The following is a 19078-nucleotide window of genomic DNA, read 5'->3' on the forward strand; positions in this document are numbered from 1 at the left end:
ATTGCTAGAGACCCCGAAATTGCCAGAGTAGTTGAGGAGTACTCTAACATTTTCTCTGACTCTTAGTTAAACATTGGCAACTTTTCCGAGACTATAAATTTGACTGGGGCCCAGTCATTTCTCTCTTTGTAGTCTGTGAAAATTAACTGAGTCTGCAGGGGCTGCAATCACCGCCAAAAACCGCAAGTGTGGGCTGTTCCTCCACACTGACAAAAATAACAGCTAATTAGGCTGCAACACCCCAAGGAAAGTGAACTTACGCCACCAATCGCAGGATGGCATGCAAAACGTCGCCATGGCAACCGGCATTTACAGCTCTTCAATTTTAATATATCAAAGGCTAAGGGTAATTTCCCAGCGAGAATACAGGAGGGTGGATTTCTCCCCTCTTTATTCTTTCTGCCGGTCTTTTGCCAGTACTGTGAGTACGGAAGCTCTATTCCTGTGGCAACAGGTTTTAAAGGAAGAGAGCCTTGTGAAAGCATGAAACACCTGGCGTGGGACTCCTGGAAATGCTGGGTGCCTCGGGAGGCGCAGGGAGAAAGGCATGGCATTCTTCTTAGAGTCTAGGCTGGGTGAACAGAGCTGAGAGGAGGTGAAGTGTGAGCTGTGAACTTTTGCCCTCAATTGCAGGTGAACTTTCTGTTTGCATAAAAATGTTTTCTTTTCTCCCCTCTTTCCCCTCCTCTGCCCTTCCCTCCCCTCCCCTCTCCTCTCTCCTCTCCTCTCCCCTCTCCTCTCCCCTCTCCTCTCCTCTCCTCTCCTCTCCCCGCTCCTCCCCTCCACGCTCCTCCCCGCTCCTCCCCTCCACGTTCCTCCCCTCCCCTCTCCTCCCCGCTCCTCCCCTCCCCGCTCCTCCCCTCCCGTCCCCTCCCCTCCCCTCCCCTCTCCTCCCATCACCTCCCCTCCCCTCTCCTCCCATCCCCTCTCCTCCCATCCCCTCCCCTCCCCTTTCCTCCCATCCCCTCCCCTTCCCCTCCCCTCCCTTCCCCTCCCCTTTCCTCCCCTCCCTTCCCCTCCCCTTTCCTCCCCTCTCTTCCCCTCCCCTCCACTCCCCTCCCCTCCCCTTTTCTCTTGTTGGCCCTCCCTTTCTTCCTCCCTCCCTTCTTCCTTTTTTACCTCCCTCCCCCTTTGCTTTTCCCCCCCTTCCCTCCCTCCTTCCTTTTTTCCCTCCCTCCCTCCCTGCCTTCTGGTTTTGTTGAGTGCTTACTCTGCATCAGGCACCCAATAGGCATCGTCTCATGTATTCTTCATCACTACATTGTAAGATAAACACTATTCTTATTTTAGAGATGAGGACATTGGGATGACGAGTCCTAATCTCACAGTAAGTTGTAGAGCCTGGATTTAAGCCAAGTCAGACCTCACAACCCAGGACCCTTGTAGTTTGTGTCTCCTCTGTGTTACTAAAACTTACTCTGTAAAAATGGAGGTGGATATATTTATTAAAGTCACTGCCATCACCATCATGAGTTGGTCAGTGCTGCATAACAAACACCCACACAATCTTAGTGGCATGCAGTGAATAAGCATCTACTTTGCTGCAGGATAGGATGACTCTGTGATTATTCTGGGACTCAGGCTGAAGGGAAAGTGCTTCTCACGGTGATGATGTTAGTCACTAGAGGGTATGCCCAACCACATAAGTGCATTTCAAATCTATCCCATGTCATATCTGCTAATATCCCATTGGCCAAAGCAAGTCACGAAGTTGAGCCCAAAGTCAAGAATTGGGAAAGCATACCCTCCCTTTTGTTGAAGTAATTGCAAATTTTTATAGTAAGGGTGTGAACACAAAGAGAGGTAAAGAATTGGGGCCCCAGAATCATTCTAGTTCAGTAACTGTCTATCATCATCATCATCAACTTCATGATCTCTGTGAACCAAGCTTCTCTTTACCTTTGTCTGTGTTTAAATAATGAGTGATCTCTTTATAAAGTTCTTCAAAGAGGACAGTCATTCGATTGAAGCAAAATAATAATTATTATTGAGCACATACTATGTCCCAGGCACTGCACTGGGGCTACATCAGTGAACAAAACATCCCATCTCAAAATAACTTACTGGGAACCCTAAAGCCCTGTGCTAGACATTGAGAAGCCCGCAAGAAATTCTAACACATGCCAAAACCATTCTGAATATTTCACAGAAGATGTCTGTGCATCAAAATCACCTGAGGAACTTGTTAAACACCAAGACTTTCAGAACTTGCCACCAACAACTCTAGGTCATAGGGTTAACTCTCAACCTATCCCATTGAAAACCTTGCCCCAAACTACAGTTGAGTTGTAGGAAAAGAAAGTTACAGGAAATAAACTACACGTACACCCTCTTCTTTGGCTACTCCTTGGGCAACAGGCCTTGATTAAAGTTTCCAGTAAATCTCTTCCAGTCCCCAGCCCCCATTCCAACAGTGTTAGTGAAACCAGGAAGTTGGAGCCACATGTGATGAGGAAAGACACAGGTCCCCTCTTCCTGTCCCTCTAGGGAACCTCGGAGAGATGTGGGGCTCCAGTCATATTCTGGTTGGGAGTTGGAGACAATTTCGTTGAATTCTAAATTACCAGACTCTTTAGTGAGCGTCAGGATCATCATGATGACTCTAGAAGGGAGGTGTTACGAATTCTATTTTGGCAGTCAAAAATGCAAACACTGAGAGAAGGATCTCACTGTGATCACATAGCTAATGACTGAGTCCAAATCAGAGTCCAGGTGTTCTAAATTCTTAGGTTTCTATCCTAATAGCAGCACTGCCCATGAGCTCGGTGAGCTGGGGCTTATTACTTAATTTGACCCCAGTTTCCACATTTTTTAAAACGGGGAGTGGTGCACATAGTTATCAGTAATTTCCAGAGTTACATATATGCAAAGTGCTCAGCAGTGTACCTGGCACATGTAATAAATTTAACCAACAAACCCCAGTGGTAGCAGCATTTACCTGTGATTTTGTTATCAACAGATAACAAAAAGTAATTATCTCTTTACAGTTGCTAGAGACATCTCAAAATAGTATTAATGCTCATCACTTCTTCAAATTCACACTAATTTCAGACACACCATTAGTTCTTGTTATTTAGTAAATTAATGAGGGAGCACACTTGGCAAGAAACGAAACAAGGAGTCTTCTGGGGGGATGGAAAGATTTCCCATTTCTTTAGAAGTGTGAGTTACAGAACCATATCCATTTGTCAAAATTGTTCAGTTCAGAACTGCAGACTCGCATGTAAATTTTCCCTACGTTGAAGACAATGAAAAAAGGGCAAATGATGTTTTCTGCAAGTTTCAGGAATCTATAAATAAATTGCAAGGCCATGTTTAAACACTTTTTTTAGAGCACTTTATAGTTGTTCAATCATCAACAGTATTGATATGCCAATTTCAATGCTTTTTTCCATCATAATCTGTTTATTATAGCAGATCTTCTAAAGGTTTCTTAACAGTTACTGCACTAGAACACTAGGGCAAATTTGTATTGTAAATGTAAATTTTGCATATATTGGAGATTTCAACATCTTAAAGAATGGTAGGATATTGATGATCGTGGAAGGTGGGAAATGGGTGCATGGGTTCATTATACTATTCTATTTATTCTTTTTATGTTGGATGTTTTCCATGATGAATTTTTAAAGATATTTTTAATGATAAATTTTTAAAAGAACCTCATATATTAGTTTATCACAACTTAAAAATATTGTGATAACTGTAGTTCAATATAATTGGTTTTTTTCTGAGTTACTATGCATTTTACTTTATGCATAGTAAAAACCCACTTTTTCTGAGATGAGATCCCTAGGCTTCACCAGACAACTGAAGATTTCCTTGACACTAAAATATTTAAGATCTCTTCTCCCTTTTCATGCTTTCCCTGAGCATGAGTTTTCAGCTTGCTTCAGAATCACAGTCTTACACATTTGCAGAGAGCTTTACAGTTTACAAAGTCTTTTCCCCCATCTTCACGCGTCATCTGCCTAGCTGTGGGGACTTGCAGATGGTACCTAGGACTAAAGATCAAGTTTCCAAAAGTTGTTCCTTTGGAAAATGAGGGATTTACCAGAAATGCTGATAATCCCAGTATCTGAACCTAATAAGCAATCTGTGAGATTAATTAGATAAGAGGTGGTCAGTTTTACTTTGAGAATGATCTGAAAAATAGGCATTTTTAAAATTAACAAAAACAATTTCTTTGCATGTGCTGAAGATCTACGTTTGTAAACCTCAAAATCTTGAAAACACCTCACTTGTTCAGAAACAAATCAAGATTAAGGAAAATTTTGAATTATGAAATATATTGAATTATGAAATACGTTATTTCTTTTAGGTCCAACCAGACATTCTAACTAAGCTAACAGAATGTTGCCCTAGAGGTCTAGTGTAGTAACTTTTTTTTTTTTTTTTTTTTTTTTTTTGAGACGGAGTCTCGCTGTGTCGCCCAGGCTGGAGTGCAGTGGTGCGATCTCAGCTCACTGCAAGCTCTGCCTCCCGGGTTCATGCCATTCTCCTGCCTCAGCCTCCCAAGTAGCTGGGGCTACAGGCCCCCGCCACCATGCCTGGCTAATTTTTTGTATTTTTAGTAGAGATGGGATTTCACCGTGTTAGCCAGCCAGTACAGTCTCGATCTCCTGACTCATGATCCACCCGCCTCGGCCTCCCAAAGTGTTGGGATTACAGGTGTGAGCCACTGCGCCCAGCCTAGAGCAGTAACTATTAAGAAACCTTTAAGCCAGGTGCAGTGGCTCACGCTTGTAATCCCAGCACTTAGGGAGGCCAAAGTGGGTGGATCACTTGAGGTCAGCAGTTCGAGACCAGCCGGGCCAATGTGGTGAAACCCATCTCTACTAAAAATACAAAAATTGGTTGGGTGTTATGGCCCATTCCTGTAGCCCCAGCTACTTGGGAGGCTGAGGCAGAGGAATCTCTTGAACCTGGGAGGTGGAGGTTGCAGTGAGCCGAGATCGCGCCATTGCACTCCAGCCTGGGCAACAGAGTGAGACTCCATCTCAAAAACAAACAAACAAACAAAAACAAAAACCTTTTTTTAACCTGCTATAATGAACAGATCATGATAGAAAAAAAAGCGTTGAAATTGGCACGTCAATGCTGTTGACAATTGAACAACTATAAAGTGCTCTAAAAAAGTTTGTTTAAACAATCTCTTGCAATTTATTTATATATTCCCGAAAGTTGCAGAAAACATTATTTGCCCATTTTTCACAGTCTTGTTTGATATGTGTCCCTAGCATTTAGTGAAACAGCTAGTACAGGTATATGCTCCATAAATATTGACTACATTCACGAATGAATGGAAATTTTTGGAAAGGCAAATCCCAATTCTGGAATAGCTCAGATGGTTCATAGAGTCAGAATCTGTGAGTTTTCCCCGATTTATAGGCAGCTCTGCAGAGGGGTGGGGCAGATCTGGAATAAACAGAAAAGCAGCAGATGAAAAGGCCATTCTTGTTGCAATGACGCATTGGCACCATGCGATTATTTGTTTTCTCTAATACAATGTGAAAAGTGCTAATGGGATTAGCCTTTTGTGATGAATGCTAATATGATATGAAAACAAATGCTAATATGCAATGTGAAATTGCTAACAAAGGAGAAAATTGCTAATAAAATTCAATGGACCTCAATGACAAATGCTTCATACATCTCCCTCATCTGGCCAGGGCTGTCTCATAGCACAGAAATGAAAGTGAACTGGGGAGAAATGCTAGCCTACGCGTTGCTTGGTGAGATGTGGATTTCAGTCACTTCCTCTGAAATGACCTCTGTGTGGGTGGGGACAGGAGAGAAGGTACACGTTGGACACACACAAACATACACACACACACACACGAGCTCCAAGGGCTGAAGGCTCCAGCTAGAAGGTATCCGTACGGAAGCTACAACATGCCCCATTTCTGTTTTTGTATTAGGCCTTTGAACTTTTCCAGAATGCTCTCCTATCTTTTGCACTGATTGGCCTTACTGTAACCTGTGCAATTGGTTGGGCAGACACTTAGATTCTCAATCCCCCAAATGGAAAAGCAGCCACAGAGAGAATGGACTTGCTTATGGCCACTAAAATAGCAGTGCCAGAACTAGATTCCACGTCTTGGGTCCTTCCCTTCCCTGCCCAACTTGCCATTTCATCCTCTCCCTCCGTCTCCTCCCCTCCATTTTCCTTACTCATCTCCTTCCTCTCCATCACTCCCTTTCTTCTCTTTCTCTTCCCTTCCCCCTTTACCTTCTCCACCCCCCATCATCCACCTCTTTCCTCTCCCTCTTCTCTTTTTTCTACTTCTCCTCTGTCTCTTTGCCATATCCTTCTCCATCTTCTCTTTCTCCAAAACTGTTGGTTCTTGTCATTATTGTCCAAGGGTCATTGGTATACCAGCAAAAGCTAGTGATTGTGAAAAAGGACTTTGGTTGGGGAGCAGCCCACTTTGGAGTGAAAGTTAGAGTAAGAACCTGGCTCAGCTACTCACAAATTCTCTGAAGATGCATAACTTCTCTGAGCCTTGGTTTTCCCATCCGCAAAATGGGTTTTTTCAAAGGGTGGGTGTGAATGGTTAATATGACAATGTGAACTAAAATTGTGACTATTCAGAAGTGGTCATGTGTGCGGGAGAATACTGGGAGGGAATATTGAAAAGCTAGAAATAGGTTATTAGGGTGATTTTTTTTTCTTCAACAATGTCCTTTATTAATGTTTCGTGATATTTTTATGATTTTCAACACTTTCAGGCACAATGTCTTCTTTTCCTTTTGATATTTATTAAATGGTTTATTTTAAATTATTGTGGCTGGGCGCGGTGGCTCACACCTGTAAATCCCAGCACTTTAGGAGGCTGAGGCGGGTGGATCATGAGGTCAGGAGTTCAAGACTAGTCTGGCCAACGTGGTGAAACCCCGTCTCTACTAAAAGTACAAAAAAATTAGCTGGTTGCAGTGGCAGGCACCTGTAATCCCAATTACTTGGGAGGCTGAGGCGAGAGAATCACTTGAACTTGGGGGAAGGAGGTTGCAGTGAGCCGAGATGGTGCCACTGCACTCCAGCCTGGGTGACAGAGTGAGACTCCATCTCAAAAAAAAAATAAATAAAATAAAATAAATTATTGTGGATCATAATTGAACATATTTATGTGGTGCATATGATATTTTGATACAGGTAAATTAATATTTTGTGACATCTCTTTAGTATCCTGAAATAAAATTCATAGATTATATAACTCACAGACACACATAATTTCATAAAAATTTAATGCTCTAATGGTATTATAAAGGAGGTGGAAGGAAAGTAATTTATATAAAATAAGTATTTTAGTATGCAAATACTTGGCCATGAACATAGAAGACATGCTGAGGTAGGTAGATGCTTGTACCTATATTGGGAATCACCATAAATGGGAGAGCCACAGAAGCCCACTGATGCGGATGTGTTTTATTGATAACTATAGTACCATATGTGGCTTTGCCAGCAGTGGTGTTGTTTTCTGAATTGATGCGCAACAGCTCGTCAGGTTCTGAATAACAAAGTGAAATTTACAATTGAATCCCAGACCTAGAAGTTTCGTTGTAAATTAAGACCGTGAAAAATAACTTTGTGTTTATGGGAAAAATTGAGTTTATAAGTAGGTTTTTCATCTACCTGAGTGTCCAGAATGGCATTTGAAAGTTAACTAGGATATGGGGCAATTCTGCATGGGCTGAGGTTGTCCTCTCTACCACACGGACCTGACCCTCTAAATGCCTGTAGTGACCCCCTCCTACCATTTTGGCAACAAAAAGCAACCTCATACATTTCTAAAACGCCTCCTGGGGAGGTAGGATCTTCCCTGCTGAGACCACAGCTATATTTAAATAATAATAATAATAATAATAATAATAATAATAATAATAATAATAAAGCAACCAAAGAGAAAACCATCCTCTGCTTTGGGCAGTCTTTGACAAGCTCTCGGCTTTTTTCTCTCCCGCCTCCCTCTCTCTCGTTGAGGCTAAAAGTAAATGAGAATGGTGGCACTGATCCCACATCTAGAAAATTGAAAAAGAATTCATTTTTTTTTAATCATCAAACCTGACAGATTAGGCATGTCTCTCCTGTCACATTTCTGTCTGTCCTCAGAGTTGTTGAACGGAATCTTTCCACGGATCCATGTTATTGCTAATAGGATTTGTCTCAGAGTAAGCATTCAGCCTCCCCTTGTTTCCTGAGACCACAGTGGACACTTTCCTCTTCTCCCTAAGCCCAACCTTCATTGTATTTCAGCTAATAAAATAATTTCCTGCCAGATGGTGGGGGAAAACATAGCCCCTGGGAGAAATGATGTTGCTGTCATGAAAGATTGGACTGGTCATGATGCATTTGGATTAAAGCCAGCCTTTCCGAAGGTGAGATTGGCAGTTGGGTTTGCAACAGGCAGTCCCATCTGGGCAAAGTAGACACTCCAGGACATCAGATCTCGCCGGTGGCAAGTGGGATTTATTTCATGCAATGGGTCCATGTAAGTCTTTTCCCACATCAGTGTTGTGTCTGCTTCAGAGTTGGGGGGATTTTCGTAGGACTTGGAATTTCAAAGGGAAAACATTTGGCTCAAGTTAGAATTTAAGGTTCTTCGGGAAAAAAAATTTCTATTCAGTCCTGTGATCCCAGCCCCAGCCTGGAGGAGGCAGAACCCTTCATTCCAAGCCATTTTCCTGAATTATATTATCTTCTAAGTTTCTTTCAATTCCTTATTTGAGACTTTAGACTAGGTTTCCTGTTCTTTAGAGTCTTGAAGGAAGGTACAGTTAAGGACTATTCCTCTCTCCTCAACTTTCTCCAAAGTATTGTCTTGCAAGAGTTCCCATGATTACTTCTAACCACTTAAATGTTTATTAAAGGCAATCAATCACTTCAAAGCAAAAATCTTAGATCTCAGTGAAATGAGGTTCCTTTTGTTCCCCATGACATTCTGCTCTATTTCCTCTAGGACTCAATGTTACACAAATCCTGCCACTCATCCTTGAACCACAACTTAATCACTCATGCAAAAATTAAGATTCGATCACTTGTGTAGAAATTAAACTGACCTTTTCCTTTACCTGTAAAATAGAGGCAATACTAGCATTTTCCCTTAGGAGAATTGTGAGGATTAAATAAGATTCAGGTGTACAATGCTCATTGCAGTGCCTGGCTAATAACAAGCCCTCAGTAAACTGTCGATCTAGCTTCATGTTAAACCTGTGCAGGAAATCTCATCTTCACTCAACTCTTGGGCTCCAAGCATCCTAGTCCAAAAGTTGCCCCAGCCAAAACTTAGGATTCTTCTCTTTTGCTTATGCTCTGTGCATCTAACTCATTGGTAAGTGCAGTGAGCTCTATCTAAAAAAAAGTCTGAGTCCATTTCTGTTTCCTGATCTCTACCACCACCAACATCCACTTTCCTCCTCCACCTTCCATTATCTTGGCTGTGGCAATTACATCCTAATTGATCTTTCTATTTTGACTCATGGCTTTTTAAAATCCATTTTCTTCATTGCAGCTGAGTCATCTTAATTTTTTTTTAAATTTAAGTTCTGAATGTGCAGGTTTGTTTTTAATTTAAGTGCATTATGTGCAGGTTTGTTACATAGGTATATATGTGCCATGGTGGTTTGCTGCACCTATCAACCCATCATCTAAGTTTTAAGCCCCATATGCATTAGGTATTTGTCTCAATGTTCTCCCTCCCCTTTCCCCCCACCCCCGACAGGCCCTGGTATGTGATGTTCCCCTCCCTGTGTCCATGTGTTCTCATTGTTCAACTCCCACTTATGAGTGAGAACATGAAGTGTTTGGTTTTCTGTTCCTGTGTTAGTTTGCTGAGAATGATGGTTTCCAGCTTCGTCTGTGTCCCTGCAAAGGACATGAACTCATTCTTTTTATGGCTGCATAGTATTCCATGGTATATATGTGCCACATTTTCTTTATCCAGTCTATCATTGATGGGCATTTGGGTTGGTTTCAAGTCTTTGCTATTATAAATAATGCTGCAATAGTCATCTTTTAAAAATTGAACTTTTGTCACTTCTTTCTTTAAAACTACCAGCGGCTCCCCATGCCTCTTAGAAATAAATTTAGACTCTGTACCCAAATTTTCATGATTTCATGTGATCAGATCCCTGCCCATATCTACAATCTCATCTTGTGCTTTTCCTTTTCTTCATCACGTTCCTGCTACACTGCTCCTCTGTAAGAGACTCATTTCTCCCTCCAGACTTTGAACTTGGATTTGTGAACCCAGAATTATCTGAGACAGGTCTCAATCAATTTAGAAAGTTTATTTTGCCAAGGTTAAGGACACACTGTGACACAGCCTCTGGAGATCTTGATGACATGTGCCCAAGGTAGTCAGGATACGGGTTGTGTTCATAGATTTTAGGGAGACATGAGACATCAATCAATACATGTAAGATGCACCTTTGTTCTATCTGGAAAGGTGGGACAACTCGAAGCAGAGGTTTCCCAGTCATAGATAGACTTAAAGATTTTCTGATTGGCAATTGGTTGAAAGAGTTATTATCTAAATACAAAGGAATGTCTGGGGTACAATAATGGGTTGTGGAGACCAAAGCTGTATCATGCAGATGAAGCTTCCAGGTAGCAGGCTTCTGGGAGAATAGATTGTAAATGTTTCTTATCAGACTTAAGGTCGGTGTTGATGTTAATGCTGGTCAGCTTTTCCTGAGTTCCAACTGGCCTTTCCATTATGGCCTGAACTAGTTTTTCAAGTTAACTTTGGATTGCCCTTGGCCAAGAGGAGGGATCTGTTCAGATGGTTGGGGGGCTTAGAATTTTATTTTTCATTTACAAGTTCTTTCAGCCTAGGAGGACTTTCCTTTGGATCCTCCTGTGGCTGGTTTATTGTCATATTCTGCCTTAGCAAAATTGTTACCTCCTCAGGCCTTCTCTGCCCACCTACCTATAGTCTCATGTAGCTATAGAGTGACAGGCATCCTGCTATAGTCACTTGTAAGGTGATCATATAATTTATTATTCAACCTGGAGCACTTATAAGGGGTAAAAGGGGACTTTTACTCCAATTCAGCCAGGATGGTGGGTTTAAAGCAGGATAGTCCTGGATGAATTGAGATGTGGTCAGCCTTCCTGTTTATCATTCACACCTTCTCTATATCACCATGCTTTATTATCTCCATAGCCCTTGTCGTTAGCTGATATTTTTATTTATGTCACAGGTCAAACCCCAAAATTGGGGTTCAGTCCAGAAGACCACATGGGCTCTTGGCTTCACACAGGAAGGAATTCAAGAGCCAGTAGATAGTTAAGTGAAAGCAAGTTTATTAAGAAAGTAAAGGCACAAAAGGACGGCTACTCCACAGGCAGAGCAGTGATATGGGCTGCTCAACTGAGCATACTTATGGTTATTTCTTGATTATATGCTAAACAAAGGGTGGATTATTCATGAGTTTTGTGAAAGGACTAGGGAATTCCTAGAACTGAGGGTTCCTCCCCTTTTCAGACTACTTAGGGTAACTTCTAGACATCGTCATGGCATTTGTAAGCTGTCGTAGTGCTGGTGGGAGTGTCTTTTAGCATGCTAATGCATTCTAATTCACGTATAAGCAGTGGGGACGACCAGAGGTCACTTTTGTCTCCATCTTGGATTTGGCAAGTGTTGGCTGGCTTCTTTACTGTATGCTGTTTTATCAGCAGGGTCTTTATGACCTGTATCTTGTGATACCAGTCCTGCTGACCTCCTATCTCATCCTGTGACTAAGAATGCCTAACCTCCTGGGAATGCAGCCCAGCAGGTCTCATTCTCATTTTACCTAGCCCCTATTCAAGATGGAGTCACTCTGGTTAGAGCACCTCTGAAAAAGCAGGAAATTGCTGGAATTGAGGGTTCCTCCCCCTTTCAGACCATATAGGGTAACTTCCAGATGTTGCCGGGGCATTTGAAAACTGTCATGGCGCTGGTGGGAGTTTTCTTTGGTATGCTAATGCATTTTAATTACTGTATAATGAGCAGTGAGGATGACCAGAGGTCACTTTCATCACATTTCTTTCTTTCATCACCATCTTGGTATTGGTGGGTTTTGGCCAGCTTCTGTGGTGCATCCTGTTTTATCCGCGGGGTCCTTGTGACCTGTATCTTGTGAAACCAGTCCTACTGACCTCCTGTCTCATTTACATACTTGTTATCTCTTGGCTTAATGTAAACTTTAAGAGGAGGAGGATATTGTCTCTCTGGTTCACCATTAAATCTTCATCTTCTTGAATATGTTTAGCAGGTGGTAGAGATTCTATAAGTATCTGTGGAATAAAATATGTTGAATGTCAGGTCCTTTGATTGTTGTAGGTTAGGTAGCTATGGATTAGTTTTCCTTGCTACACCTCTTTTGTCATTTTGAATGGTGACTCGTAAAGCCTGTCTTTCTGTGCTGATCAGGAATCATGTTCTTTTCCAGACCAGGAGATTCCAACCAAAGGTAGCTTGTGGAGCAAATAGGGCTTCTCTGAAGTTTCTTACTTCCCTTTAGTGGCCCCCTTGTTTGAATTAGGTTTGATAAGCACAAAGAAGGAAATAGTTCCAGGAGTAAGAGACACTTACTCAGCCTGCATAGAAGACGTCATAGTTTCCCAGCAGTCAGGGCCATAAAATAAGTGGTCTCCCTGCTTATGGACTGGAAATGCCAAAAATGCAATGTTGAAAATAATACCGCAGGATCACTGAATTAATTATTGTGGGTCCTGATTGTGTAAAATCTGATTATTGTGGAGTGGGGATTGGATTGCATGTTAATATTTAAGTCCTTTGGAAATGGCACTGAAGGAAGAACCCTCCCATACTGTTTGGTTCCTCCAGCCCATCCCCCATGAGACAGGATTTCTTGGGACCCGAACAGAAATCACCTTATCACATCAGCACAGATTGCAGGCAGGGCTTGCACTTGCACTATTTGCATTTGTATAAAGAAAGGGCCTGGTATTATGTAACTGCATGTGGGTTCTGAGGGCTTCTAATGGGCCTCCTTTTGTACAGTCTCTTAGCAACCAATTGAAGTTTGTAAGCTGAAACAAAGAGACTGGAGTCCATCACTCCTTTAGCACATTCCTCTGAGTCTGGCCTGCCTCTAAGAGAGCCAGCCTAGTGGAGGCATACCTTTTCTTCCTTGCCAAAGCTCAGCAATCCTTGTTCAATCATTGCTTCACCTTAGGAAGGAAAGGAGTTGAGAGTTGGGGAGATAGGCTAGGGACTAGTTGTGTTGTGCTTAGAACTTCAACTTAGTCAAGTAAAGTCTTTAAGGCAACTGACCTGCACTCATTCATTCTTAAAAGAGGCAATGTTACTTGACAGTTAAGAGTGTTCTTTAGGGTCAGAAGGAATCCTGGCTCTGCCACTCAACAGCTGCATGTCCTTGGACAAATTACATTATATTTCTGGGCTTCAGTTTCTTCATTTTGTTATGCACGAACAAAAAAATGTACCCTTCTCATTGGTTCACTGAAAGTATTAAGGCACGTTATTAATGTAAACAAATATTCAGGGTTGGGGTTCCCTATGTGTCCAGTACTGTCCTTGGTGCTGAAGGCACTGAAGTAAATGTAACAGGCAAAAATTCCCTGCTCATATATGCAAGGATAACACTATGGAGGGAGATAGAAAAGCTGATGGTATTAATGACAGCATCATGGAAGATCTCACTGAAAATGTGACCACTGAGCAAGACTTGAAACACAATCCCAAGTGAAGGCCTTAACATGGTGCACAAAGGTTGTAAATGCTAAGTACATGTTAGCTTTTATTTAATTTATTCACTAATTAATGTCGTTATTCATCTACTTATTTATTCATCTGGCTAATTCTGAATTACTTACTCATCCACCTGTCCATTCATCCATCCACCCATTCATTCTTTCATCTGACATTACCTGAAGGATATGAATAATATTATTTCTATATTCAACATACCAAGTGCCATAATAAAGGCAGATGTAGATGAGGTTTAGAGCAAAATTTCTTAGCTTCAGCACTACTATCATACCTGGTCATATGATTCTTTGTGTGTGTAGGAGGGGTTGTCCTGTGAATTATAGGATGTTGACAGCATCCCTAGCTTCTGTTCACTAGATTCCCATAGTACTCCCAAGCCGTGACAACCAAATATGTCTCCAAACATTGCCAAGTGTCCCATGGGTAGTGGGGTGGCGGCGGGGGAGGAATTGTCTTCAGTTGAGAATCCCACATTTAGAGGAACACCTTTCTCAGGAAGGAAAATTAATCTACTGCATTTCTCTAGAAAGGAAATGAATCTAAGACTTTAATTTCAGTAGAAATAATAGCATTTTCCAACATTTTGTTTCTTAGAGGCATATTTTCTTGTGCTGAAAAGCAGAAGGGACTTGGGGACTATTTGAAATTGAAAACAGAATCTTACCCCACAGGAACTCTTTGCATTGCCTTTGAGAATTGTGGCTCATTCAAAAAACATCTCCAAGGCTTACCGAAGAAGTGGTTACAACAGGGAAATCTTCACTAACCTGAAGGAATGCAGGCTCATGCTTGGTGCCTTTGGAATTCTTGCCTGATTTTATTGATGACTCCACAACTACAAAGCTCAGCCCAAGATTCCTCAATGGAATAACAAACAGCAAGACTTTCTCTCTAAAGAATTCTGTTGAGAGCAGCCACGTGACTTGATTCCTTGGAAAAAGAACCATGCCTTACAGGGTATCATGTCGAGGCCAGAGCAGCCATCTCTGCCTAAGGGCACCTTTCCAGGTCAATCTCTTCCAAGGACAGCTCCTGACTACTAGGAAGGTAACTTAACTTGCCCGGTTTCTCACTGCCCTGCATATATCTATTCCTGGAGACATCTATGGTGCAAGCAAGTTGTCTGGAAATCCTGCAGTGTCTTAAGCAGCTCTTGAATTTTACCATTTCCCCCCATTCCCACTGTATCTCTTCTTTCCTCCTCTCCCATCCTGGTCAATCAAGTCCCATTTGGTCAATCACGGTAGCTGAATAACTGTTCACCTCATTCCTATGGAGGGTTGCTCACTTCCACCTGTCCTCTGCACAGTAGAGTTCAGTCTTTTCACTAAACACAGACTTCAGTGCCAGCTCCGAGTCCTGGCCTGCAGGGTAATGCATGATCTGCCCTTCTCTCCAACTTCCACACCAACCGCTCTCCCTTCGTGCTCAATCTGCTTTTGTCCCCCCAGCCTCCTTAGCTCATTTACACTTTAAGACGCCAATAGGGTTATCTTATCCCCTCCCAGCACCCCCCAACACCAGTCAAATCTTTGCTGGTAGCCCATTGTTTTGTGGCTGAGAATCCTAACAAGGCTTCCAAGTCCACCACTGTCTGGTTCTTGTCTACTGTAACACCATCTTCCACTATCTCCCATCCCTGTGGTCCAGCTGCTGTGTCTCCTCTGCCCCTCATGTGCACAGGGCTCTTCCCACACTAGGGCCTTTGCTCATGTGACTATCTCCACTCTAGAAGCTCTTCCCTTCCCTGCATGCTGTTTAAGCCTTCACCATGTATCAAAGCTCAGATTCAGCCTCTATTTCTCATGAAGACTTCTCTTACCTCCCTGACAAGTTCCTGTGCCCTGATTATACATTCTTATAGCATTATATTCTCTCATTCACTGCTTCCTAGTTGCAATTTTATATTTATTTACAAGCTTATTATATTATCAGCTCTCATCTATCCAGTTTCTAAGCACCTCAAGAAATGGGACCATATTTGTTATGTTACCATTTTGAACTTAGTATAAAGTGCCTGACACATAGTAGGCACTGAGTAAATATTATATAGTTGGGAAATTGAATAAATACACCCCAGCACTCCTCAACTACGAAGACTTATGTTTGCAAAATTAGGCTAACGTGAGCTTTTCTGGAGCCATGGGGGAAGGGTTGAGGATGGAATAGACTAGAGAATTTGTAACTGGGGAGGTATGAGGGCAGGTCAGCATCAGGAAATTACATCACTTGACATTTTCTTACTCCCTTTTGTGTCTGTACCTTCATCTTATATTATCCAATATTACAAGCCCCTTGAATGTAGGCATAGAGCCTTTTATTTCTAAAACTACAGTGAGCACCTAGCCCACGACCTGGCATATAGTAGGTGCTTAACAAAGCTGCACTGAATGAATAGATGCCACGCATTCTAGATTTAATACAGACCTTACCATCTAAGCTGAGGTTCATTCAGGAGGGACTGGGAAAGGAATGTGAAGGCTCATGATTGTTATTTATTTATTTATGAGATGGAGTTTCACTCTGTTGCCCAGGCTGGAGTGCAGTGGCACGATCTTGGCTCACTGCAACCTCTGCCTCCCGAATTCAAGCAATTCTCCTGCCTCAGCCTCCGGAGTAGCTAGGATTATCGGCATGTACCACCATGCCCGGCTAATTTTTGTATTTTTAGTAGAGATGGGGTTTCACCATGTTGGCCAGGCTGGTCTCGAACTCCTGACCTCAGGTGATTAGCCTGCGTTGGCCTCCCAAAGTGCTGGGATTACAGGCGTGAGCCACTGCGGCCGATCGTTATTTATTTATTCATTTATTTGAGACAGGGTCTGGCTCTGTTGCCCAGGCTGGAGTGCAGTGGTGTGTTCATATCTCTCTGTACCTTCAAACGCCCGGTCTCAAATGATCCTCCCACCTCAGCCTCCCGAGTTGCTGGGAGTACAAGCGTGCACCACCGTGCCTGGCTAATTTTTAATTTTTTTTTTTTTTTTTTTTTGTAGAGACAGGGTCTTAGTATGTTGCCCAGGCTGGTCTCAAATTCCTGACCTGACCTCAAGTGATCCTCCTGCCTTAGCCTCCCAAAGTGTTGGGATTACAGGTGTGAGCCACCGTGCCCAGCCAAGATGGTTATTTATTAGGAAAACATGGTACATTGAAGTTTTTCACAAAACATACGACAGAAAGAGCCTGGATAGTTTTTCTTTTTAAGCTAACATTTATCAAGAACATATTTTTTTTTTTGCCAGCCCTGTGATAAACGCATTATATGCATTATCTAGTTAATTTGTAGATGCTGCTAAATTTGCAGATGAGGAAACTGGGGCTTGGAGACATTCACTTATCAGTCTAAGGCCAGAGAATAGTGGCAAAATTAGCATTCAAACTTGGGCCTGATTTTAAAATTCATGGGCTTAGCAAGTTTGCTACAAGGACTCTTGCGCTAACTCTGGGTTCATAAATGAGTCATCCAACACCTTTTGCCTTCATGCCCTCACCCATTGGATAGATGAATCCATTCCTACTCACATCTCAAGGCTAAATGAAAGAACGCGTGTTTGTGAACAGGCATCAGAATACATATAACTGGAAGGGGTGCCATAATTCATTTATTGTGTTCTGGCTCCCCACCAGCCTAACAGGGCCTGTTATTATGTGACCTCCCATTGCTTAAGCCTCTGATAAGACAGTAAGTCTGTATACAAGGTGACCATGAACTGCTACCTGCTTTCCAATTGCTGTTGGAAGAGCTCCTTATACCTTACGAGGCTAAGAAGATAGAAGAGGTATTTCGCTCTGGTTTTGAGCAATTTGTTCTACTCTGTGAACTTCTGTGTCTGCTTATCCAGTTTCATGAAAATTAGATTAACGAGTACTAATTGGTGCTGACTCCGCTAGCTTAAAATGGATGGTGTCAAATGGAAGAGGAGCCCACCAGTGTGATGTTTGGATCCCAAAGCTGCTGGGAATTAAGTTTCTGCATGGATGTCGATATCATAGGTTACTTGTGGCAGCTTGCTCCAAGCTACTTTTATGGAACACAGTGTCACCCCCACAGATCTTTGAAAGGAGGAAGGATGCTTTTTCCAAAGAGGATTTGCTTCAGATGATTTGGTCAAAATGCTCATTCATTCGAGGAATCTTTTTTGAGCACCTATTAGATGCCAGGCTCTGTTTTGGACTCAGGGGTACCAGTGGTGAATAAAACAGGCAAAGTTCCATCCACATTAAGCATACATTCTACCTAAGGTTGGTAGACAATAATGAAGTAAATATATAATGTCAAGCAGCATTTCCATCTGATACTTGTATATTGATTAAATATGAGATAAACACATATTTTAAAAATGCTTTGTTGAGATATAATTCATATACCATAGAATTCATCCATTGAAAATATACAAATCAGTGGGTTTTGGTATATTGAGTTGTGTAATTATCACCACAGTCAATTTTATAACATTTTCATCACTCCAAAAAGAAACTCAGCAATCTTTAGTTATCACCCTCCTATACCCCATACCCTACCTCCAGTCCTAGACAACCACAAATCTACTTTATATATAGATTTGTCTATTCTGGATAGAGAAAATATCATCTTTTGAGAGTGAGGAGGCATGGGAGGAGACTTTACTGTCCTCACCTCCCAGATGAGGCATTTTGGATTTAGTTTTCCTTGGAGCTCCCTCTAAGATCCAGACTTTTAATCGCTTCACAGGCTCAGTTTCTGGGGGATAGTAGGGGTGCTGGCCAGTGTCCTGATACAGATCCTCTTTTTTACCACTTTACCTTTCACCTCTAAGTCCTACTTGAGATAACAGGTGCAGAGCCAGTCAGCAACTGAGAGTAAATATGCATATATGGAAACAGAAGACACTCCAGTCAGCTGTGCAGTCACATCTCCAAGCAATAAATAAGCACATCATGTTTATAGAAGCCTCACTGTAGTCCAAATTACTGTAATCTCTTACCTGGACTGTTTTAGTAGCCTGGTCTCCGGTCTCCCCATGTTTCATCTTGCCTCTCTTTCAGCCTGTTCTTCCCAAGATACCACAATAAATGTTTCAAAGTGTGAATCTGTCCATGTCACTCTCATGCTGATGAAAATCCCACATAGTCCTCAAGGTAGTCAAGGCTTTCCTTTATAGCCCCTGAGGGCCTGCAAAACCTGATCCCTGGAAGCCTTTCCGGCATCATCTGTCACTATTCTTCCTCCAGTGTCTAAATCACTTTTAATTCCTGCGAAGTGTCACATAATCTCTAGCCGGCCTTTGCCCTCTCTGGAACATTCTTTCCTACCTGCATTGCCTGACTAGCTTCCATATGCCCTTCAGGTCCTAGATTAG

At 42.2% G+C, this 19078-nt stretch overlaps 3 annotated features.

Annotated features, from left to right (window-relative positions):
* Positions 300 to 619: an enhancer, noted in NCBI's record as "active region_10501". NCBI's record gives its function as "activates an Ori minimal core promoter by ATAC-STARR-seq in GM12878 lymphoblastoid cells {active_cell/tissue: GM12878}" and the evidence as "EXISTENCE:reporter gene assay evidence [ECO:0000049][PMID:35858748]".
* Positions 12092 to 12990: an enhancer, noted in NCBI's record as "OCT4-NANOG-H3K27ac hESC enhancer chr16:17176735-17177633 (GRCh37/hg19 assembly coordinates)". NCBI's record gives its function as "activates a minimal SCP1, AML or CMV promoter by ChIP-STARR-seq in primed H9 embryonic stem cells {active_cell/tissue: H9 hESC(primed)}" and the evidence as "EXISTENCE:reporter gene assay evidence [ECO:0000049][PMID:30033119]".
* Positions 12991 to 13889: an enhancer, noted in NCBI's record as "OCT4-NANOG-H3K27ac-H3K4me1 hESC enhancer chr16:17177634-17178532 (GRCh37/hg19 assembly coordinates)". NCBI's record gives its function as "activates a minimal SCP1, AML or CMV promoter by ChIP-STARR-seq in primed H9 embryonic stem cells {active_cell/tissue: H9 hESC(primed)}" and the evidence as "EXISTENCE:reporter gene assay evidence [ECO:0000049][PMID:30033119]".

Source organism: Homo sapiens, chromosome 16, assembly GCF_000001405.40.
Source record: "Homo sapiens chromosome 16, GRCh38.p14 Primary Assembly".
Lineage (NCBI taxonomy): Eukaryota > Metazoa > Chordata > Mammalia > Primates > Hominidae > Homo > Homo sapiens.